Below are 26,405 nucleotides of genomic sequence, written 5' to 3' on the forward strand. Positions count from 1 at the left end.
TAGACCAATAACAGGATCTGAAATTGTGGCAATAATCAACAGCTTACCAACCAAAAAGAGTCCAGGACCAGATGGATTCACAGCCGAATTCTACCAGAGGTACAAGGAGGAACTGGTACCATTCCTTCTGAAACTATTCCAATCAATAGAAAAAGAGGGAATCCTCCCTAACTCATTTTATGAGGCCAGCATCATACTGATACCAAAGCCGCGCACAGACACAACCAAAAAAGAGAATTTTAGACCAATATCCTTGATGAACATTGATGCAAAAATCCTCAATAAAATACTGGCAAACCGAATCCAGCAGCACATCAAAAAGCTTATCCACCATGATCAAGTGGGCTTCATCCCTGGGATGCAAGGCTGGTTCAATATACACAAATCAATAAATGTAATCCAGCATATAAACAGAACCAAAGACAAAAACCACATGATTATCTCAATAGATGCAGAAAAGGCCTTTGAAAAAATTCAACAACCCTTCATGTTAAAAACTCTCAATAAATTAGGTATTCACGGGACGTATCTCAAAATAATAAGAGCTATCTATGACAAACCCACAGCCAATATCATACTGAATGGGCAAAAACTGGAAGCATTCCCTTTGAAAACCGGCACAAGACAGGGATGCCCTCTCTCACCACTCCTATTCAACATAGTGTTGGAAATTCTGGTCAGGTCAATTAGGCAGGAGAAGGAAATAAAGGGTATTCAGTTAGGAAAAGAGGAAGTCAAATTGTCCCTGTTTGCAGATGACATGATTGTATATCTAGAAAACCCCATCGTCTCAGCCCAAAATCTCCTTAAGCTGATAAGCAACTTCAGCAAAGTCTCAGGATACAAAATCAGTGCACAAAATCACAAGCATTGTTATACACCAGTAACAGACAAACAGAGAGCCAAATCATGAGTGAACTCCCATTCACAATTGCTTCAAAGAGAATAAAATACCTAGGAATCCAACTTACAAAGGACGTGAAAGACCTCTTCAAGGAGAACTACAAACCACTGCTCAATGAAATAGAAGAGGATACAAACAAATGGAAGAACATTCCATGCTCATGGGTAGGAAGAATCAATATCGTGAAAATGGCCATACTGCCCAAGGTAAGTTGTAGATTCAATGCCATCCCCATCAAGCTACCAATGACTTTCTTCACAGAATTGGAAAAAACTACTTGAAAGTTCATATGGAAACAAAAAAGAGCCTGCATCGCCAAGTCAATCCTAAGCCAAAAGAACAAAGCTGGAGGCATCACACTACCTGACTTCAAACTATACTACAAGGCTACAGTAACCAAAACAGCATGGTACTGGTACCAAAACAGAGATATAGATCAATGGAACAGAACAGAGCCCTCAGAAATAATGCCACATATCTACAACTATCTGATCTTTGACAAACCTGAGAAAAACAAGCAATGGGGAAAGGATTCCCTATTTAATAAATGGTGCTGGGAAAATGGGCTAGCCATATGTAGAAAGCTGAAACTGGATCCCTTCCTTACACCTTATACAAAAATTACTTCAAGGTGGATTAAAGACTTAAACGTTAGACCTAAAATCATAAAAACCCTAGAAGAAAACCTAGGCATTACCATTCAGGACATAGGCATGGGCAAGGACTTCATGTCTAAAACACCAAAAGCAATGGCAACAAAAGCCAAAATTGACAAATGGGATCTAATTAAACTAAAGAGCTTCTGCACAGCAAAAGAAACCACCATCAGAGTGAACAGGCAACCTACAGAATGGGAGAAAATTTTGGCAACCTACTCATTTGACAAAGGGCTAATATCCAGAATCTACAAAGAACTCAAACAAATTTACAAGAAAAAAACAAACAACCCCATCTACAAGTAGGTGAAGGATATGAACAGACACTTCTCAAAAGAAGACATTTATGCAGCCAAAAGACACATGAAAAAATGCTCATCATCTCTGGCCATCAGAGAAATGCAAATCAAAACCACAATGAGATACCATCTCACACCAGTTAGAATGGCGATCATTAAGAAGTCAGGAAACAACAGGTGCTGGAGAGGATGTGGAGAAATAGGAACACTTTTACACTGTTGGTGGGACTGTAAACTAGTTCAACCATTGTGGAAGTCAGGGTGGCGATTCCTCAGGGATCTAGAACTAGAAATACCATTTGACCTAGCCATCCCATTACTGGGTATATACCCAAAGGATTATAAATCATGCTGCTATAAAGACACATGCACATATATGTTTATTGCGGCACTATTCACAATAGCAAAGACTTGGAACCACTCCAAATGTCCAACAACAATAGACTGGATTAAGAAAATGTGGCACATATACACCATGGAATACTATGCAGCCATAGAAAATGATGAGTTCTTGTCCTTTGTAGGGACATGGATGAAGCTGGAAACCATCATTCTCAGCAAACTATGGCAAGGACAAAAAACCAAACACTGCATGTTCTCACTCGTAGGTGGGAACTGAACAATGAGAACACATGGACACAGGAAGGGGAGCATCACACACCGGGGACTGTTGTGGGGTGGGGGGAGGGGGGAGGGATAGCATTAGGAGATATACCTAATGTAAATGACGAGTTAATGGATGCAGCACACCAACATGGCACATGTATACATATGTAACAAACCTGCACGTTGTGCACACGTACCCTAAAACTTAAAGTATAAAAAAAAAAGATTGTCTCAAACATCTCAGATCAAGAAAGTCTTATCTCCTAATTGTCTCTTTGCCCATAACCATAATCACACTCATATGTATGTACCATGATCACGTCCATCTTGGAGCTTTTATCCTTTCTTCCCTTTTGCTTGGAATTCCTACCTTCCTCTCTTCTCCAAGCAATAGCTAAACCTCAAAACCCATTTTCAAGTCTCATCTCCTCCCTGAGACCCTCCCTGATCAATTCAATTAACTGATTTCTTATTCCTTGTCTGTTAAAACATGATATAAATGGAAATACAGAAATATGAATAGATTTGAAAATTATTTAAGAGGTAGCAATAAAGATGGATTTTTGTGATAGACTGATTTCCTTCCCTTTCTGTCTTCTTTCATAAGAGAATGTCATTTTAGGGGCTGGGAGATCATCATGTTATCATGTAAAAAACAATAATCAGCTGTCTGGCAGAGAGGAGAGGCCATACAATACAATTCTGGCCAATGACATTTAATTGGATTGAGCAATTACTCAAAAACGGAGCAAACTCAGCTTTATTTTCCTCCTTTTTTTTCTTTGTTAGCCTTGTTGCTATTTTTTGCTTTTTTAGCCTTGTTATTTTTTTCTTTTTAGCCTTTCTGCTTTTTTTCTCTCCTTTTTTCTGCCTGAAATATGGATATAATGTTAGAGATGGAGCACCTATCTTGTAACCATAAGAAGGCCACAAAGAATAGGGTAAAAAAAATTTGAAGAACTAAACTCTGAAATCTTTGAGCCAGCAACCACCTACCTCTCAAACTCTAGTTAAGGGAGGTAAACAAAACTTATAAAATATCTAGTTTGTGGGAGGGAGTTCTAAACACAGACACTTTGACTAACATTAGCCTCTACACACTTTTAATACCTAAAGAATTCAAAACAAAAATATACAAACAAGAAAACCTTTATTCTATCTAAAGGGATAACATTTTGAAACAATTCAATATTTGCTTAATGTCTATGAACAGAAATTAAGATATTTCTTTATTTGAAAAACTAAAATTTACTTTCTTTGATGTTGAAATATTTGTTAAACATATTATAAATAAATTAACTCTTATCTTTGGCATTTGTTATATCCATTCTTCATGGTACTCTAAGAGGGACTATAATAAATAGCATTTCGTTTTCCAGTGAATAAAAATATACACTAAATCTTACCTAAAAACAGTCTTGACTTTGGAAATGCCTTTGTGTCATGTTATTTACAGATAACTCAGTAAGCAAGCTTGTGCTGGCAGAATTGGAGACACTGTTATGTTGCCAGGAATTCTTGCTATGATACATCCATAGGAAGCTTGGGCTTTGGTCCAAGAAACTACAGCTGGAAAAGTCATCCCCTACCTTTCCAGAGAATTACTAAGAAACTACTCTATCCTGTAGGTTGTCCATTTTCCACAGCTACCCGTAGCAAGAATATTCTCTTGGCATTTATTCCTCTACACTGTGTTCTATCAGCATTTTTCCAAGCTCCCAAGCCTGAAAGGTACCTGCTGGGATGGCTCTACACAAATTGTATGAGTTTCTCCTTAGGCATTCAGAGGAAATCCCACCAGATGTCAAAGGTGTCCGATATCACAGCACTCTAAGAAGTAGCTATGGCAAGAGACATAAGGTCACACAAACTGAGAAGTGAAATGGCAAAATTATAAATTCTTGTTATAAACACACTGTCATACGAAGTGAGAAATTGCAGTTGCATTAAGCTGATGGATAATCTGGCAACAAGCAAACAGATACTTATTTTCTCTTCAATCTAAACTGTGCAACTGTCCCTTCCTGACTTACATGCCAATCTTTTCAAATACTTCATCTTTAAATTACTATTATTAGTAAAGTACAAGAGAGCAGCCAGTATCATTTCTCCTGAGGCTACCTCTGGAAGAAAACTGCTAAATAAAAAGAAGATTTAAATGTTTTTCACTTGGCATTTTTATTGACCATCCAAAGGGTATATCACTAGCAGATGCGTATATACAGCCCTAGTGGAATCCACAACTGAAAATGCACAGTAAAGATTTCAGAAAGCAACAAGACAGACTCACTTCTCAGTAAGATTACAGATGTATGATTACTGATACTCTTTGAAAACTTTAAAAAATACTTATTAATCATGCACATTCATATTTCCTAGTATTGTTTCCAAATATTCCTAGCATATACTGTAAATAGTTTTTCTTTCCTGGAATTTAACATTAACATTACCTTTTAAATTTGTTAACAAATTTGCTTTTATCAGAGCTTTCAAGAATTTTCTTCCCCTAGAGGATGTCAAAAATTATCATTTCTAAATTTAGAAGGGTAATGGGAGAGATACAACTCCTTATCGAAGCACTTATATAATTTGACAAAAGTTCAGTCAGAACAACAAATACAATTTGGAAGTTCCAAGTTCTAACTATAGATAACTATATTTCTTCGAATAAAGATGTAGTGGGAGGCTTTTAGTAAAGCCGGTCTTGGCCACACCTGCTTTCCTTCTGCAAAGGGAATGTGAGGTCATAATCTCTGTCATTAAACTCCCATGAAGTCAGACAACATTCGCTGTAATTAATTTCTGTGAGAACAATGGGGCATTAAATGAGGAGTTCACAGGCATTAACTCTGAAGAAGTTCTGAGGCTTGGTAATAACATTGGAGGAAAGATTTTATATGGAAACCTAAAAAAGCACTTACTAATATACCAAATAATATATTAATAAAATACATATATTTTGCATTAACCACCCCTCATTTAAGGGATTCTACCAGGCAATGTTAAGACAATTGAGGCAGCCTGATTTTGTACTTGAGGCCCCAGAGCACACTTTTGGATTAAAACCTAACTTGTCACTAAATAGTAGCACAAAAGAAAGAATAATCATGATCCTGGACCTCTTATTATTAGATATACCCCCCTGCCTCCCCAACTTCTCTGATCATGCAGGAATTTCAGGAAAGACATGAGAGATATGACGTATTGTCCAAATTTGCTAGAGGCTTGGAGATCTAGCCTGTGAACCAGAGACAGAGCCTTCCAGGCACATTCCAAGGCTTGGCCTTACACATAGGGACTGGTCTGATGTCAGAGGAGAACAAGAACTTCAAGGAATTTCTAGTCCTCCAAATGAGTTACACTATATTGGGACAGCAATGAGATAAGAGCTGGGATGAAAAGAATTTGACAGAGCAAGAGTAGATGCATGATACAATAGGTTACAAGGAAGAAAAGATCCGTGTTCAATGGTTAAGTCAATGGGGGCAGGAATTTGGTTTTTGTTGTTCAACACTACATACCCAGTTTCAGGCCCATAACAAGAGAAATGAATGAATGGGAGAGTGAGTGAGGCTATTTGATCCTTTCTCTTTGTTTCTTTAATCTAGTATTTCCCAATGTATGGAATGCTTCAACTAGTAATCTGGGACATCATTTTAGGTGGTAATGGTACATTAAACACTCTAAATCAGGTAGAGACAAAGTGTTTCCCCTTTTAATTTCCTAGTATCAAGGAGAAAAATTTCAGTTTGGTACTAGTAGGCCTTTAACATCTTTCTATTCTTGTTTAAACAGGAGACATGTTCTCAGGGACTGAGCTCCAGGTAACTTTATTTAGTTAAAACTATATACAGTCATTTGTCACTTAACAATAAGGATACATTCTGAGAAATGCATTGTGGGTGATTTTGTTGTTTTATGAACATCATGGAATGTACTTACACAAATTGAGATGGAATAGCCTACTATACGCCTAGGCTGGATGGTATAGCCTGTTGCTCTGAGGCTACCAACCTACACAGTAAGTTACCGTACTGAATACTATAGGCAAATTTAACACAATGGTAACCATTTGTGTATCTAAACATATCTAAACATAGAAAAGGTTCTGTAAAATATAGTATTATAATCTTCTGGAACCACTATTGTATATGCATTTCATCACTGACCAGAATGTCATTATGCAATGCATGACTGTACTTCATCTGGTTTTTCATCCTATTCATTTTTATAGTTACCATCTATTTTGGGAAAAAATGATTTTTCTAATTTGGGCTAGTAATGTAAAAATTTCCTTTTAAAGGCCAGGCGCAGTGGCTCACGCCTGTAATCCCAGCACTTTAGGAGGCCAAGGCGGGTGGATCATGCGGTCAGGAGATCGAGACCATCCTGGCTAATACGGTGAAACCCCGTCTCTACTAAAAAATACAAAAAATTAGCCGGGCATGGTGGTGGGCACCTGTAGTCCCAGCTACTCAGGAGGCTGAGGCAGGAGAATGGCGTGAACCTGGGAGGCGGAGCTTGCAGTGAGCCAAGATCGCGTCACTGCACTCCAGCCTGGGCGACAGAGTGAGACTCCATCTCAAAAAAAAAAAAAAAAAATCCTTTTAAAATAATTTATTTAAAACACAAAATTTAGTTGACTTAAAAGAAAAACATTAGGTAAATAATAAAGTCATGTGTATCTATGAGGCTAATCAGATGATGATACTCAAATGAATTAAATTTGGCAAGCTGCATTCTAATCGCCCTGGACTCCCTACGGTCTTTAGGTCTCCACTGCTACGACAACAATAAAGATCTAAAGCAGCTGTTCAGCTTTGGGTGGACCACACAGAGCCATCCCCAGGAGACACAGCAACCTGAGACAACAGTCAGTCAAACAAATGTAAACATAATCTTCAGTGTCCTGGTGAGCAACTTAAATGCAAATGCAAAAACTCCATTTCCCAAAATCTGCCATCAATTTTATATTCTTATAGAGAAAGATGCCTGTAACTGTCCCTTCATTTGACTCCCCACTATTAAGCTCATTTAGAAATAAATACTAAGCTACTAAGGTAATGAATTCATGGTAAGAAGAAAGAGAAATGATAAATTTAAAAGCCAAAAATCAATGAGAAGTTCTGTTAGGTCCTACAAATTCTTTTGGATGATCATAATTTTAATTCTGTTACAGGCAAATGGTAGCTCTCACACTAAATTCAGCAACAGCTTGCAATATGTAAATTAGGAGCCCAAAGTTCTTGAACTAACTTGCAAAGGTAGTATTAGTTGCTAATAGATGACATTTAATTTCTGACTTTCAGAACTCAAGATTAAAATAAGGGCTAAATTAGAGCTGAGGTTCCTTAAGCGGCTGCTAATAGCCTATGTCATTGAAGAGTTACTAAAAATACTGATTAAGTACATGAGAGATTTTTTTGTGTGTGTTTAACCAAGCACAACTTGATTTTCATAGTACAATATTTAAAAATAAAATAACAAAATAAAATCTGTACATTAAGTCATCAACCTGGATCCTCATTTTCTTCTTCCTTTTTTTTTTTTTTACAAAGAATTCCTTAGTCCGCTGGCCTCTACAAGCATGTACAAACACTGACGGAATCATAATCTAAAAGGAAGAGAGACACTATCAGAATTTTTTTCATTCTTAATAATTCATTTTACCTGAATCTTTTGTTTCTCCTTCTTCCTCTAATTTTGTTGGCTTTTAGCCAATTCACAATAATTAAGACTTTGATGTTGAGGCCAAGAGGGAACTGGCAAAAAGTAAAACTCATTCATCAATGTAACTCAGTAATTCTCACCTCTCATATTATGACATAGCCACCAGAAGCTACTGCAACAACTTCCTTAATAGCTCAGAACAACAAGAATACCTAATAACATACATGCTTCAAATCCAGAGTCATGGCAATATTTTTTTCTATTTTAAATAAGTCATGCTAATGTTGAAATGCTAACTGTGAAATTCTTTACCTCACATGGGTGCCATTGTTTAATACAGTAACTCCTACAAATATACTTTGAGCTTCCTGTAAAGTGACATGTAAATAAAGCATTATTGCCATAACATCTCCCTTAATGATTTAGAAAAGGCAGTAAATAGCAAGCTGATGGAATCACAGATGGTACTAAATTGAGACGTGTTGCAAACATCAGTAAAGGCAGAAAAAATTACGCAAAAAGGACCTAAAGTGCTTAAAATAAGACCAAAACATTTCTAACATTATGGGAAAAAGAAAATGACTTTTTTAAAGAGTGTCCGAAATATGCTGTCCAGCATAGATGCTACAACCAACAGGTAAAAAACATGCCAGCCAGAATTGTTTTCATTTCTTTGAAACAAACTAACATGCCAATGTGCTCTGAATAGGGATTGGTAGTCACATAAATATAATACTTACAATAAACAGTAAAGAAAAACCACTGTGATTTCATTAAAAAGTGCCAATGAAAAGTTCAGTTTGGTATGTCTGTAACTTCGAAAGAACACAGAGTTCCATTTAGGAAGAGTATTCCAAGTAAACCTGTTTCATCCTAAGCATTTTCATAAGCCTAAATTTGCCTCCCACTTGGGCAGAGCCATCTGTCTGGGCAGGTTTTGCACAGGGACCGAAACAGAAAGAAGGCATCTTATAGGGGCTTGTGCTTGGGGTTGCAGGTGGCTTTGAGTTTGTCCTCTACTTCCCATGGTGACAAATGGGGCACATGAGATATGTGGTTATAAATACAGTCTGTAATGGTAGTGACAGAATAAAGCAGACTGACATCACCACTACCATGCTTCTCTCTTTTATGCTCTAACCTGTACCTTTTGCAAAATTTAGCCTCATGTTTAATATCAAAACATTTTAATGTCAAAACGTATGTATTCTCTCTTGGCTCCCACTATACCTGTTGGTTGTTTCATCTGTTGAGGTGACAGACAATAGTTGCTGAATGTAAGGTCTTGATGAATCCAGCATGGGTTTTCTCTTTTTTCAGGAGCCAGGCTCATTCACCCGTTCTTACCCAACCAAATTCTCTAATCACTGAAGTCCAACACATGAAATCTTACTGGAAAACAGTCTTTCAATGCTGTTGTGGACCTGAGAACATACCGTCAAACTTTATTATCCTGAGGAATTTATTTACACAGAAAATTGTTTTACAAGTGATCAAAAAGAAAAACACTTTTATGTATCTGTCAGAGTAACCCTAGACCCTAAAAATGGGTCTAGATGGAGTAACTGAAAATAAACTGATTAAATACTATCATTTATTTCTCTTTCAAACAAATAAAAAGACTGGAGGTAATCAGCCCAGGTCTGGGATGGCACCCCATGAGGTCAGGCACCCAGGTTCCATCTACCTGGTTGCTTTGCCATCCTCAGCACGCAGCTTCCACCTAGCAGTCCCTGATGGCTGCCTGCCTTCTTCTCTCCACACTGCAGTCCATTGGCTAGAACCTAGTCACATGGCTATGCCTAGCTGCAAGCCAACTAGAAAACAAAGTCTTTATTCCAGGAATCCATGTGCCCAGGTAAAAATTAGGGATTCTGTTATATCTATACTGAATTAAAAAAGAGAGACTAGATACTGGAGGACAATTAGCAGTCTCTGCTTCAATTAAGAATCATATTTTAATAGTCAAAGCTTGCTAATTTTAAAGATTCTTTCAGCATTTATCCTTGGTTAACAAAATACACATTGATACCTAATTGTTTATTCAACACAGTTTACTTGAGTTTGATATCTGAACAAAATTTCCTAATTTTTCCTTCAACTTTTAAAGAATTCTGCTTCATGGTTTTACAGTTTGTTTCCTGTAAGGATGTCATTTCTGCTATCACAAAATGTAAAACATTTATGAAATTATAAAAAGTAAACTTTAAGACTTTCCCTTTTTCTATGCAGGCCTTACTTTTTTAAAGATAGAATTTTAGGACCAGTTAAAATTATCACTTTAGTAAGGAATATTTTAAACATTTTAGTCACATAAACAGTTTTATGTATATCTGTTCACATTTTAAAAGCACATAATTAATATACATAGACTGTGCTTCATATATATTGAAAGAAATTTATTGTAAAGAATTGGATCACTTGACCATAGAGGCTGGCAAGTCCAGAGTCTGCAGTGTGAGCCAGCAGGCTGGAAACCCATGAGAGACGATGGTGTGGATGAAGTCTGAAGGCAGTCCTTTGGAGATTTCTCCCTTGCTGAGGGCATCTTTTCATTCTATTCAGTCCTTCAACTGATTGGATGAGGCCCACCCTCATTATGGAGGAGAATCCACTTACTTACTTATTTACTCATCAGCTTAAATGTTCATCTCATCCAAAAACCCAAAACACCCTCCAAGTTGACATATAAAATTAATTATGGCTGGGTGTGGTGGCTCACGTCTATAATCCCAACATTTTGGGAGGCCATGGTGAGTGGATCACTTGAGCCCAGGAGTTTGAGACCAGCCTGAGCAACATGGCAAAACCCCATCTCTACAAAAAATACAAAAATTAGCCAGGCATGGTGGTGCATGCCTGTAGTCCCAGCTACTCAGGAGGCTGAGTAGGGAGAATCACCTGAACCGGGAAGTCGAGGCTGCAGTGAGCCACGATCTCACCACTGCACTCTAGCGTGGGCATCAGAGTGAGATTCTGTCTCAAAAACATAAATAAATAAAATAAAATAAAATAAAACAAAATAAAATCATCGTCACACCCCTCTTTAAGGGGGAGTGGACCAGGTACATTTTGCTTAACAAATGGCTCATGGTCATTATAATTGTTAACCAGGAACATTAATTAATTGTGTTAATCATTATTATTTAATTACTAACAATAACTCCACAAGTCTCTTTTGTATATTTCTTGAAACTGGAAAAATTATGGCAATAATAGAAAATCTAAATTTGGAAAAAAATAACTAGCGGACTCAAAGGGAAGGAACACCAAACACTGCAACATTCAGAAGGGATTTTCCTTGGGTCTAACAGAGAGGATTACAGTTCCCTCTTCAATGTTAACTTGAGCCTCAGTCTAAAAGTTACTTCTGAAGTCTTTAAGCTGTGACCTGAATTGTCCCTACAACTGTTTATCTGTGTGTTTTTTAAGAAGGTCATACCAAACATTTATGATCAGCTCAAATAGAAACATTTTCTGTTTTTCTAGACTATTTTCATAGTAAACAATGAGGCTATTTGAAAAACATTTCTAAGAAATGTACTTAAATAACAGGAAACCCCATGCCAACTTTGGGAAATACAGTACAAATAGGGGAAACTCCAATCCCTAGCAACAATGGAAATGCAATGGCTCTGGTGGTGTCAACTGCCATAAAGGGCATGTTACGGAATTTCACTCCACAATCACAGTGGGCCCTGGAATAACTGAGTACTGGGCAGGCCTGAAGGGAGGTAGCCATCACTGCCTGGAATAAGGTTTCTAGGATATGCAGCAGCTTCTTATATACCCACAGAGATGGGAATTAGTCTTCTACACACCTTCATCTGTTGGGCCTGATAAAACCAAAAGAAATTCCAAGATTCATTCGTGCCTTGTCAATATCTAAGGGGATATTTACATTTAATGTTAGCAAATATTGCATAGTACTCTAACACATCCCAAAGAATCAGTCCACCATCCAATTTCTCTGCATTTAAACAACTGTCATGAAACTGACTAAGATAGTCAACAATATTTTAGGTGCACACAGACTGTCTTTTTTTTTTTTTTTTTTTGAGACAGGGTTTCACTGTGTCCCCCAGGCTGGAATGCAGTGGCATGATCACAGCTCACTGCAGCCTTGACCTGCAGGGCTCAAATGATCCTCCTACCTCAGCCCCCTGAGTAGCTGGAAGTATAGGAATGCACCACCACATTCAGCTAATTTTATTTTATTTTTCATAGAAATGTGGTTTCACTATGTTGCCCAGGCTGGTCTTGAACTCATGGGCTAAAGCAATCTTCCTGCTTCAGTCTCCCAAAGTGCTGGGGATTACAAGCATGAGCCACCACACCCAGCCTAGGCTGCCTCTTTAACACCCCCAATCATTTGTTTTCTTCCTGAACAGCTACTCAATTCAAGTGTTCAAAGAGCAAAGTACAAGTCTTTAACTTATCAATTGAGAAATTACTTTTTTCAGCCTCTCTGCCATGTATAAATGACAACATGCACCAGAACATGTTCCTGAAGGGTAATAAAGAACATATTAAGAGGCTTTTGCTGGAAATAGAATATAAAGTAAAACCTAAAGATTAAACCAATCAACCACAGAGATTTTTTTTCTTTTAGCTTACAAAAATAAATTTCTCATCATTTCTCAGATAAGCATGCAAAAATAGCTCATAGGTGTCTCATACCAGTAGAATAATGAGCTCTTACATGTTAATGTTTCCTCTGGATTCTCCATGGACTCAGCCTACTATTAATAATACCTGACAGCCCACTTACTGGCTACCATTTTAAAAGAATCTTCTAAAAGCATGGCAGTTAAAAAATCATTTATTCATGACCTGACACAGGTGTCAGCAGTATAGGCCTCAGAGATGTTAGAATAATTCAGCTGATTTCCCTCTTAACATTTTCATAATAAATTGGACATCTCCCAACTCCAGACAGTAATGGCTTCTGACCCAGGCTATAGGAACATACAAGGAACTTTACAATACCAGCTCCAAAAGAGATTAGATGCTAACAAATATGCATACCCTTCCCAAACCAGGAGCAAATGAATAATGAAAATAAAGAATATATATCCATTGTCCTATACTATTATGTAGGCCTTAAGATTCCAAGAATGGTCAATGTCCCAAGTTCAAGTGGGAAAGAACATTTTACTCTTCCCCTTCCACTTTACATTCCACTGAGAGGTTACAGTGCTTGCTGCTGCCTTCCCGTCTTTCCTCAGGGTTTCATCTCTCTCCTTTACATCTTCTTGCTCCGTTCTGGGTTTTCCTTTGTGTCTAAGGACATTTCCCTCTCCATTCCCTCCCACCTAGTCTGTCCCCATACCCTCTTCTCTCCATCTCCCTTCCTCCCTCCCTTTTGTTTGACTTTAGAAGATATTTTAATGTAAATATGTATTTCATTAAAATGAGGGGAGAGAGATTCCAGAATCATTAGATAATTTGCTCTTAATTTTTTTCTGATGCATGACCTGTTTTGTGACCCTATTCCCTAAGAGATGGATGAAAGTATATCATCTCTAATTTTATTTTTTAAATTTCCACAGGTGTTGGGGGAACAAGTGGTATTTGGTTACATAAGTTCTTTCGCGGTGACTTGTGAGATTTTGGTGCACCCATCACCACTGAACCCAATTTGTAGCCTTTTATTATCCCTCACCCCCTTCCCACCATTTCCTCCCAAGTCCCCAAAGTCCATTTTCCCTCCCTCTTTACCCCACCTCTCTGACCTCGCCATAATCTGGACCCAAGGATATTTATTGTTAATGTGTTTGTTCTTGTTTTTTGGGGGAAAGCATGTTGTATATATTTAAATAGAGTATTGTGGCTACGTTAATTTTTTTAATTATTTAATTGAAAGAGAACCTCCTCTTCTGAGTTCGCCTCCCTCTGCCTTGAACATGTATTTTAGTCCACTAAGCAATACCAAAGAATACTTAAATGAGCAAAACTAAGTGAGCAAAAATAGTATGAAGAATCTCTGTGTGACAGGTGCAGGATTTTTCATTTTCGGAGTAAATCTTGGTAAGTGGCCACACATCCACTGCCAATGCTTTCTGTAATTCTTCTCCCAGTCAACTAAGCTCTCTGTCACAATTTACTGCTCTCTCAGAACACCTTTTTTTTTTTAACTTGCCAACTATGGAGGGCTCCTTTCTCTATTTTCCATGAGAATATTTTGTTTAAGTTCACAGATGTGGGATTTTTCTCTTTTTGAAAATATTTACTGTTAAGTAAAAATGCAACTTTTTAAAGGAAGAAAATCCAAATGTTCACCAAAACCTAACTGGCATTAAAAGAACAGTCCCATTTTAAACTATGTTGATATCAAGATAGAGGTGAAGCAAAAAAAAAAATTTATTTGAGGTTACTTTCCACATGAGGTCAAGAAAGAACCCTTCATTTCCTGAAGCAATTAACAAAACAGCTATGCAATATCAGATAAAGGGGAGACTACAAAATACAACGGGATTTTAGGCCCCTCAAAAAGAAAAGATTACATTCCATACAGAGAGGAGATGCTGGATGAAAAGCTCTCATCCAGACCCCTCTCCCAGCCTCTGTCAGCCTCTTAGACAAATAGACTCAGGCCCATTAAGCCTTGGAGGCCACCGAGGCAGAATTTGATTTATTTATTTAGTTTTAAGAAAAAATAAGAACCTGACACTTTAAATCCTGCTACAACTGGTAAATTCAAGCTCAGAAGATGTGATTAGGCTATGTCTCATGTGTCTTCTCAGCTCTTTTTTTCTGCCTTATTCCCAATCCCCCCGAAATTAAAGCAGAACAGACATCGTGACTGTTTAATCACAACACCTTATAGTTATGTCCTGAAAGATCATGGTTAACATTAGTGAAAGAAAAGCTTGGGATGTGTGTAGTTGTTCTGCTCCAGTATAAATGGAAAGCTTAAACTATTTTTCTAGCCCTAATAGAATCAATCATCACCCATTTCACGATGAAACCCAAGACAAAGCTCAGAACCTAAACAGCCTTCAGAATTCAGAAAAGATAAACGGGAGAAATGAGAGCAGTCAAAGAGAGATCAGATTTCCATCTGAGACAGACTTGGTATTAGCTAAAAGGCAACTTTATAGGAATCATAGGAATCATAACAAATAGTTTATAACATCTTCTAGAATCAGGGCACATGTACAATTGTCTCAGAGTAATATTATTTCCTTTCTAGTGACAGGCTGTGTCTACATAGCTTTCTGAAGATGGGGGAGCTTAATGGAAAGATGTTTTACAATACATGTCATACTACTTTTTTATCACTAGGTCATTACCTTATATTAACATTATGAATTAACAAATTGTTGCTTAAAAAAAAGGATGCAAAGCATTTATCAAACTGTAAAAAATACAAAGAAATATAAAGTATGTCTCTGCCCTCTAAAAGCTTATTATCTAGTTGGGTGGAAAGTTTAGTGTGCATAAACTAAAATAGCTCAGAAAATGCAAGCTTGAAGAGCTCAGAAGTCAGGATCATGTTTTTATACATTAAAATACTTAAATTATACTATATATCAGACACTAGGATAAGCACTTTTGCTTATAAAAAATGCTATTATAGTAGTTCAAACAAAAGGCACCAAAAAATGGAGAGATTTCCAATAAGTTGATCAGAGATAACCTCAGGAATAAAATGATGTTTGAGACTTTGAAGAAAAGGCAAGATTTAAGAGAATTCAAAGAGAAGATGCCCTTAGTTGAAGAAATGGCACATCCAAAAGAACAAGAACAACAACAACAAAAAACAATGAATATTTAGGAATTAACTAGTTCAGTTTGTCCAGCACAGGGCATTTGTAACAAGCTAAATTTTATACACTCTGAAATGAGGTTCTGGACATACTGCCAATACCAGATGGGAGTAGAGATGTAATTTAAGAATCAATCTTATAGAGGAAGAAAGAGAGAAACGTAAAAGTTATCCAAGGGGAAAGATAAGAGAGTTTGGGCCAAAAACTTAGAAAAACTTCCATGCAGCCAAAAGAGAGAGAGAGAGAGAGAGAGCGAGACAAATGAGACAGTTCCATGGGGTCACCAGGGAAGGTTTGTCAAAATATATAAAATTTTAGCTGAGTCTTAAGGAGTGAGGAGAACCCAAATTAGTAGATAATATGGTTTGGATCTGTGTCTTTCTCCACCAAATCTCATGATTGTAATCCCCAATGTTGGAGGTAGGGCCTGGTGGGAGGTGATTAAATCATGGGGCAGATTTCTCATAAGTGGTTTAGCACCATCCTCCTTGGTACCGTCGTCCCGATAGTGAACAAGTCCTTGTGAGATCTGGTTGGTTAAAAGTGTGTAGCACCTCCCCGCAACTCTCTCTCTTGTTCCTGCTTTCACCATGTGAAGTGCCTGCTCCCTCTTCGCCTTCTGCTATGATTATGTTTCCTGAGGCCTCCCCAGAAGCCGAGCAGATGCCAGCCTCATGCTTCCTGTACAGCGTGAAGAACTGTGAGCCAATTAAGCCTCTTTTGTTTATAAATTACCCAGTCTCAGGTATTTCTTTGTAGCAATGCAAGAATGAACTAATATAGTAGAGAAGAAAACAGAGGGTGTCATAGATGAGCACTTGATATGCTTTAATAAATGAAAGCCAAAAAACACAGGAAGCTTGGAGGACACCAATAGCTGACCGAAGCCAGAACAAGCAATTTTACCTAACACTGGCAAGAGATATTTACAAGGATACAATTTGGATGAGGTGCAGAGATCTGTGATTCTTACTAAGGAGTCTAGGTTTTATCCAAAAGGCAATGTGGAGCCACTGAAAATTTTTCAGCAATGAGGTGACTTGACAGAATTTCAGGCTAACTGCTGACCTAAAACACTAATGAACTATATCCCAGATAGTGACCCCAACTCGATTAGTTTTCTACTAAAATCTTGGACAGTATATCTACAATTTCTCCTCTAAGATACCCCAAAGCATTTGCAAGTACTGCCACCATTCCTTTCCTTGGGTCTTATTCTGCCTTATTGATGAGAGAAAAGTTTGGTTACTCACGCCTGTAATCCCAGCACTTTGGGAGGCCGGCAGATCACAAGGTCAGGAGTTTGAGACCAGCCTGGCCAACATGGTGAAACCCCATCTCTACTAAAAATACACCACAGGTGTGGTGGCGGGCGCCTGTAATCTCAGCTACTCAAGAGGCTGAGGCAGGAGAATCGCTTCAACCTGGGAGGCGGAGGTTGCAGTGAGCTGAGATTGCACCACTGCACTCCAGCCTGGGTGACAGAATGAGACTCCATCTCAAAAAAAAAAAAAAGATTGGTTACACAGTAAGAGGGAGATGACCACTGATGCTTAAGAGAGATTATGTGTCAGAGTGTTTGAGAGCCTGTGTCTACATACTTCTTAGCTTAGTGGGAAAAGTCCCTGGGAAAAGATTTTCTTTCTCAAGAGGGGACTGGAAAAGTGATCTCCCACATATCTTCTTCCTGCTCTCTTCCCACACCTTTATTCATTTCTGTCTACCCCTTTACTAGTCACCATGCCCCCAGCATAATGGAGAAGAAAAGGAGGCCTCCAGAACTAAGGCACATGCTCCTCTTAACAGAGAAGATCTTGGAGGCTTGCAGAATATAATAAAGAGGAAGGTACCTTTCTTTAGTTAACAAACTCTTATAAACCATTTTCCATGTGACAGGTAATGAAACATACACTCACAAATACACACACATATACACATACATATATGTGTGTGTGTATATATATACACACACATATACACATACATATATGTGTGTGTGTATATATATACACACACGCACACAAAATATATATATAATTTAACCCTCATAACAATCCAATGAAATAGGTCTTACTATTAACCCCGTTTTACAGATGAGGAAACTGGGGCAATACAAAGTTAAGTGACTTGCGTAAGGTATGTAAGTTTCGGGGCTGATATGAAACCAGGCAACCTATCCCAGAATTCCCACTTTTAACCACTGCCTTGTGCTCCATCTTTATTCTCATTCTGCTTTTGGTCCTTAAAACATGACTTCTAGTGAGCCCTGTGGGAGGGTTGGAAGGAATGGAGATGGAAAGGACACAATATGGGACTCTCAGGCTCCCTGGCCATAGGACTAGCAAAATCTCACTCTTAACCCAGTTTGCCTGAGGCTGCAATTTTTTGAATTTTTGCAGTCAGACCTTGGCAATGACCTTGAGCAGCAGGATATAAATAACTCCCACATGTTTAGCGTTCTGATAATGGAACACTAGGCATATATGGGTTTTAATCGGTATATCCACAAGAAATACATTTTCTGAAAAACTTAAACTTCAATGAAGTGAATTTGACGTGAATTGACACTGACAGCTGTAAGAACATCCCCACACACCTTTTTTTTAAACTGAAATTCTATACTTAGTTCGTTCATAATTTCCCATTAGCACATGCTGAAAAAAACTTCCCATCGTTTAGATTTTTAATCTTATGTGGAAATGTTGCTCTTAATAGAAGGAACATTTCAAACAGTTCATGGAGAATGCAAATAGAGGTAGAGGATGGAAATGGCTATTGACATTGCTGTTAGAGAAGTTTTACCAATAGCAAGGGACAATATTGTTTTCAGTAATCATTTTATTGCTTTTTGCATACAGTGAACACTGGGACATTTCCTAAATGTCACTGAAAGACTGAAAATTTTTAAATAAAAATAATTCAAAAAGTGGAGTAATGTAGGGCCATTTAGTGCATAAACAGCTCTATACACTTAGAATATCTTCACACATTTATGGTAATAAAGATGATTTTAATGATCATGAATATTATGTATAACACCTAAGTAACTAATAGCAATTTGAAGCCAAATCCACTCATAAGAAAACTGATGGATAAGGATATATATATATATACACATATATAGACTTTTGCTTCTCAACAAACTGGGGTAACAGGAATCAGATTTACCTTCCCACTTGAAACAACAACAGCCACAAAAACAAAAACAGACCAAATCTATGATGTGAATCTATAGTTTTTAAGACAATGACATCAGGCAACAAAAGACAGTAATATCCAAAAAATAAGAAATATACAAAGTAGGCCCTACATTTGACTCAATTTACTGCCATGAGTGATTCTATACCACAGCACAATGCTGAGTAGCTGTAGCAGAGCCAGTGGTAATATCAGATGGAAGTACAGATCTACATAAAGGAATGAAGAGTACCAGAAATGATAACTATACTGGTAAATAGATAAGATCATGTTCTTATTATTTATATATCTTTCAAAGATAGTTGTCTAAGCAAAAATAAAAATATATTGTGGAATTTTCAACAGAGACATAAATAAAATGTATAACAACAGTATTATAAATGTCAAGAAGGGAAAATTGGAAGTATACTATTGTAAGGTTCTTATATTACACATGAAGGGATATAGTACTTGAAAGTAGACTTTGATGGGATAGCTGTAGAGTATAAAACCTAAAGCAGTGTTTTCAACCTTAGTTCTTTTGTCATTTTGAGCCAGACAATTCTTTGTCATGGAGAGCTGTTAGGTGCATTGTAGGAGTTTTAGTAGCATCCCCAGACTCTACTCACTAGATGCCAGCAGCATCTCCCCAGTTGCAAAAATTAAAAATGTTCTCAGACATTGCCAAATGATCCCTGGAGGATAAAACCACTGCCAGATAAGAATAACTAAAGTGATCACTAAAAAAAAAAAAAAAAAAACAGTCATAGCTAATAAACAAAGATGAAATAATTATACCATCAAAAAATACTAAATTAATTCAAAAGAAGACAGATACAAAGGAAAAGGGAAAGGAAGAAGACACAGGACTAACATAATAAAACAAATAGGATAATGATGATAATAGACTTTAACTGAATCATATCAATAATAATATTAAATATAAATGGCCTAAATACTCTCAATTAAAAGGTAGAAATTGTCAGATTGGGTAAAATAAAAGGTCCCAATTATATGTTGCCCACAAGAAATGAAATTTAATTTTTTTTTTTTTTTTTTTGAGACGGAGTCTCCCTCTGTCGCCCAGGCTGGAATGCAGTGGCCCCATCTTGGCTCACTGCAAGCTCCGCCTCCCAGGTTCATGCCGTTCTCCTGCCTCAGCCTCCAGAGTAGCTGGGACTATAGGCGCTTGCCACCACACCCAGCTAATTTTTTTGTATTTTAGTAGAGATGGGGTTTCACCATGTTGGCCAGGATGGTCTCAAACTCCTGACCTTGTGATCCAGCCACCTCAGCCTCCCAAGAAATTTAAATTTAAAGACATAATGTGTTAAAATAAAATTATGAAAAAAAGATGTATCATGCTAATACTAATCAAAAGAAAGCTGAAGTGCCTATATTAATATTAGACAAAGTAGACTGCAGAATAGTGAATAGTATGAGGGAAAATGAAAGTTATTTCAAAATAATAATGTGGCCAGTGTACCTAAAGGACATTATAATCCTAAATATTTATGAGTCTAACAACAGAGCTTCAACAGACATGAAGCAAAACCTCATAGAATTGTAAGGAGAAATACAGAAACCACAATTATAGCCAGAGATTTCAACAACTCTTTTCCAATAATTGGTAGAATAAATAGACAGAAATCCAGTAAAAGTATAGAAGGCTTGAACAACACAACCTGACCTGACATTTGTTGAACATTATATCCAACACTTCTTTTCAAGTGCACGCACAATATTTACCAAAACAGACAATACCCTGAGCCATAAAACAAACGTCAATATATTTAAAGGGATCCATATTGTACAAAAGATACTGTCTAATCACAATGGAACTAAATTAGAAATTAAGAACAAAAAGATCTCTTGAAACTCCTGAATATTTAGAAACTAAATGGCATACTTCTTTTTTTTTTTTTTTCTCGAGACGGAGTCTTGCTCTGTCACCTAGGCTGGAGTGCAGTGGCACGATCTCAGCTCACTGCAAACTCTGCCTCCTGGGTTCATGCCATTCTTCTGCCTCAGCCTCCCAAGTAGCTGGGACTACAGGTGCCCGCCACCAGGCCCAGCTAATTTTTTTGTATTTTTAGTAGAGACGGGGTTTCACTGTGTTAGCCAGGATGGTCTCAACCTCCTGACCTCGTGATCCGCCCGCCTCGGCCTCCCAAAGTGCTGGGATTACAGGCGTGAGCCACCGCACCTGGCCCTAAATGACATACTTCTAAATAAATCATAAGTCAAAGAATAAAACAATCAGCATTAGAAAGGATTTTAAACTGAATAAAAATGAAAACATAAAAATTTGAGGGATGCCACTCAAGTAGTGTTTAGAGGGAAATTTATAGCATTAAATGTCTATAATAGAAAAGCAAAAGGTTCTCAAATCCCCTCAGCTATCACATTTGTAAATTTAAAAAAGAAGAGCAACTTAAATCCAACGTAAGCAGAAAAAAGGAAACAGCAAAGAGAAGATGGGAAATTAATAACACAGAAAACTGAAAAACAGTGGGGAAAGTCAATGAAACCAAAAGCTAGGTTTTTGAGACTATCAATAAAACTGATAAACCTTGAGCCAGACCAGGCAGATCAGAGAAGAAAAAAAAAAAAAGAGAGAAGACACAAATTTCTAATGTCAGAGTAAGAGAGGTGACTTCCAAGGAAAGAATATTTTTATATTTTTGCAGTTAGGGTTTTCTGAGCAAATACACTTGAAACTTTTGTCAACAAACAAATCTTGGGAGTTAAAGGGTGATTCAATAACGAGAGACCATCCAGAAAGATTTACCTCTTCAAAGGCATGTGCCTACATTTCAAAGAGGGCTGAGACACAGAGCCATAGAGATATTTCAGAGGTTGTAAACACAAAGACTTATCTTCCACCTGGAGATATTTCTTTATATTCCAAAGGGTAATAACCCAGTAATCTTTCCCTTTCCTCCCAGGGTGAATTTGTTTACATTGAGAAGCTTAAATTTCTGTCTTTCAGGAGTAGAAGAGTCAAGATTTACATAAATCCCTAGATTCGAATTTTTATCCTTCCTCACCTATATAGTTCAGATACCAGTACAAGTTGGGTGACTTCTGGCTCTCATCCTCCAAGAAGAGGGAAAGACTGAGGAAACGAGAACCAACGCAGTTATTGCTGTGAGTAATAATAGTCTATTCCTACTCCTGAAACCTCATGTCTACTTCTGTGATAACATGAATAAACATAGATATTTAAAACTTATCCGTGACATTATTACACATTCTATAAATATTAAAAGGAGAATAATGGAATAAAAATGACATTCTCAATCAAAATTGACAACTTAGAAGATATAGACAAATTCCTTAAAAGATGCAAACTCCCAAAGCTGACTTCAAAAATAAATGGATAAACTGAATAGCCTTATAGCTAGCAAATAAATTGAATTTGCAAAAAAACTGTCCCACACAAAAAAATTCAAGGCCCAAATAGCTTCACTAGTAAACTCTACCAACATTAAAGATGAAAAATATTATTTCTACACAAACTCTTCCAAAAAATTTGAGGAAGAAGAAATACATCCCAACTAATTCTATGAAGCCATTATTTCCCTGATAAACAAAGACATTATAAGAAAACTATAGACCAATATAGCTCATGAGCATAGATTCAAAATTTAAAACAAAATTTTAGCAATATATAAACAATATATAAAATTAATATTATTATCAGGCAGTGTTTTCCTCAGAAATGCCAGGTTCATTTAACATTAATTTCAAAAATCAATGTAATTCACTATATCAACAAACACAAAAATAAAATCCACATAATAATTTCAATAGATGCAGAAAAAGCACTTGACAAAAAATCAGCATTTATTCCTGATAAAAACTCTCACCAAACAAATAATAAAAAGAAACTCCCTCAATTTAATAAAAGACATTATAAAAACCAGCAGCTAACATCATAATGAAGAGAGACTAAATGCTTTTTTCCTAAGATTAGCAAAAGAAAAGGACGTGCATTCTTATCACTTCTATTCAATATTTTTCTGGAAGTTTAAGCCAGCACAGTAAGGAAAGAAAAAGAAATAAAAGGCCTCTAGATTAAAAAGGAAGAAGTAGAAACACTTTCTTTCTTTCTTTCCTTACTATGCTGGCTTAAACTTCCAGAAAAATGCACATCATGAATGTATACGCCTGAACTTAAAATAAAAGTTAGAAATTTTTTTTAAAAAGTGTATTGTGCAATAATAATGAAAATGTAACTGTATCACATTGTGATAATTATTCCATCTGCTCATTTAATAAATACCTATTGCTTATTCACCAAAAAAGGAAGAAGTAAAACTGTCTTTATTCACAGATGACATAATCATCTTTGTGGAAAATCTGATGATTCTACAAAAATGCTACTAGGTCAGTGCAGCTCATGCCTTGATGTCAACCTTGTAAGAGCTGGAGTAGAGAACCTAGTTGAGCCTCCCTGAGCTACTTCTGACTACAGTACTGTGAAATAATACATATCTATTGTTTATGTCACTAAGTTTAATAATTAATTATGGAGATACAGAAAACTAATAAACCTACTGAAGCAACATTTATGGAAAGTGGTGCCCAAGGATCTGTATGTTTAACAAGCTCCCAATTAATTCTAAACACAGTAAAGTTTAAGACTAACTCAACTGGAAGAACACGGTCACAAAAATGGAACAGATTGGGACTTCTGAACTTATAGATCTTTCAAAGCAGAGGAGGCCATGCCCATTTTTACAATTTTAATACAATTCTTAACTAATTCCTTGCTGATGATATTCTCTTAACAACATGATGAAGAAAATGCTTTAAGGTAATTTACTGCATCTTCCAAGCTCCAAGCAAGGATGAATTATGTCCTAGTCAAAATCTATTCATTCTGTTTTTAGAAGATAGGGAATATATATGCACAAGTTCAATAATGTGATCCATTGTACAATACCACTTTCTTGTCTGCACTTTCTTCCTAAACGCCATTCTAAATTCTCTTTAGTGTAATTTAACCCAGTTTTCTTTTCAGATCCTGGAAAAAATAGTTAATAGCTGGCCATCTTCCTTTATGTCTTCTCCCTTACTTCCCGTGAGGACTGTCTAGTAGCCATATGCTTATCCCCAGGAGGTCAATTGTGATTGGTCCAGATAGAGGTTATATATAGTCTTTGCTGATTACGGTATAAAAAGTCAATATGCAATTTAGTTCTGACCAAAAATACCTAAGATGAAGCCTGTTGGGTGATAATGGGAACATCCCACAAATAGTAGATATGGGCTGAGTTGTCTACTATTTGTCTCCCTCCGAAAAATCACAAAAACATTTATAAAAATGCACATAACACATCCAGGAACCCAGGATAATCAGAACTGCTGGAGTCATCCTGTGACCATAGAGGGAGATTTCACTGAATCCTGATGATGGCAGAAGAGAATTATGAAGAGTGCCTCCGTCCTTGAAGACTCTGTTGAGCAGCCAAACTGACCCTGGAACTGCCTATTTCAAAATTCCTCATGAAGTAAGCTTTAAAATGGCCTTCTTATTTAAGCCATTTTTAGGTGGGTATTCTGATATTTCCCTATAATTCTTGTAGTCTAAGCCATTTTCATATCAGTTCACATTCCCAGAAAGTTCCCAGGAATGCTTGGCTATGTGGCAGTAACCTCCAGTCCCTCTTTTCAGCCTATTCTTAAGCCAGAAATCCCCCACATCCTCTCTGGATTGGCAAGGTGAGACTCTGCCAGGCCATTTGCAGGGTTTCCAAACATAGCCATGGCATAGACAGTCTGGAGGATGTAGTGTGTGCTACTACTCAGCCCCTTAACCTTTTCCCAGAACCAGCAGGCACCATGTCTGAGCCTAGACTGAAGCTCCCCAGAAACATCCAGGAGAGTGGCTGTGAAATATTAGGTTGGTGCAAAAGTAACCATTAAAAGTAACGGTTTTTGCCATTAAAAATAACGGAGTAAGTAATAGACCACTAGGGACATGCGGTGGGTTGGAACTCTGGTAAGACGGACCTCAAACCAGTACATTAAGAACTGCTTCAGTTCCTCTAGGCACGACTGAGATAGGAAGCCCCATCCTAAAGCTCCTGGGTGGCTACTTGCTGCCTCCCTCAGGAACCTTTGCTAGAAGTTATGGCTGCTCTTTCACAGCAAGAAAACCAGAGTTGAAAGGGAGAGAAAGAGTCCATGTTATTTCCCTGGCAAATTGCAGTGGAACACAAGAGAGGAAAATAAATGCTCACTAACTCCTTTGATTCATTAATAAAACATGATGAGAAAATGTATAATTATAATTCTTGATATTTCTCTTCGAAAATTCATTTTCGTGATCCCAGCCTCTTTTTTTGCTTTATTCTGTGAAACATCTAGTGGGACTTGTAGAGATTGGAATGGGCAATTGGCAAGCTGCAAGTAGCCTAAGAAATAGCATTTACCTTGGGTAATTCACCATGATCCAGAGCCTTGTTTTTGACTCTGCTAAGACAGAGCCTGATTCCTTCAGCATGCCACACGAGATGCTGGGCCAATCTGCAAACCATAACTGACATATGGATCTGAATATTCACATTGATATGACCAGTACATTCTCTGCAGTAGCAAATCTATGAAAGGCCAACTCATAAACCAAATGTAGCAGAAGCAGCATGAAATCGGAACAAGGGAAATTTGTTAGTGATTCAAAATTTTAGAAGAAACAAACATCCATCGCCATGTGAGAAAGTCACAAGAATTGACGTTCCCATGCCGGTCTCCTTGGGCAGTTCTTAGGCCAGCCTCTCCACAGTTTCTTTCTCTGACTCTCCGCTACCTGCAAGGAGGTTTCAGTCTGAGCAGCCATCTGTCTTTGGATTGGTATATTATTATTAATCATTAAATACGTGAATCTTTCAGTTAGTTTATAGTTAACTCTTAATCATATACCAAATGTAATAGAATTGCGTTTTTGCTACATTCTGGGAGAGGCATTCTGATATTTCTATCTCTCTGCTTTATGTTGATTTTATACTTTTGCATGGGGGCTAACACTGTTTCCAACTTTTTTCATAACACCTCATTGTTACTCCTAAACATCACAAAAAATTACGCAGATGCCAAATCAATGTGTCACTCATATCAGAGTTCACTTGCTCAGTCCAGGATCCAGGACCAGCCTCAGAGAGGTTGGACCACAGGCACACATAGCTCATTCAGGAAAAGCAGAACTGCCGTCACAACCTTTATAACCGAACATGCAGCAGGAATCCTGGAACAATGCATGATCACTAGTCGCCTGATACCAAGCCTCATATTCTTCCAATTAGTCCTTAAAATT

At 37.3% G+C, this 26,405-nt stretch overlaps 1 protein-coding gene and 1 long non-coding RNA gene across 21 annotated transcripts in view; one reads left to right on the forward strand and one right to left on the reverse strand.

Moving 5' to 3' along the window:
* Positions 1-26,405, reverse strand: part of MCTP1 (multiple C2 and transmembrane domain containing 1) — a 581,405-nt gene that overhangs the window by 508,643 nt on the left and 46,357 nt on the right. The gene's annotated exons all lie outside the window — the stretch shown is intronic.
* Positions 1-26,405, forward strand: part of LOC105379085 (uncharacterized) — a 121,023-nt gene that overhangs the window by 73,759 nt on the left and 20,859 nt on the right. Inside the window, exons 1-4 of one of the 2 annotated variants that reach the window (XR_948576.3) lie at positions 6,407-6,486; positions 7,238-7,377; positions 22,077-22,234; positions 24,436-24,643. This is a non-coding gene — a long non-coding RNA (uncharacterized LOC105379085). Of the gene's footprint in view, positions 1-6,406; positions 6,487-7,237; positions 7,378-22,076; positions 22,235-24,435; positions 24,644-26,405 lie in introns of those variants that run through there. The other variant, XR_948575.3, reaches the window with a different exon arrangement.

The sequence above is a fragment of the Homo sapiens genome, chromosome 5, assembly GCF_000001405.40.
Source record: "Homo sapiens chromosome 5, GRCh38.p14 Primary Assembly".
Classification (NCBI taxonomy): Eukaryota; Metazoa; Chordata; class Mammalia; order Primates; family Hominidae; genus Homo; species Homo sapiens.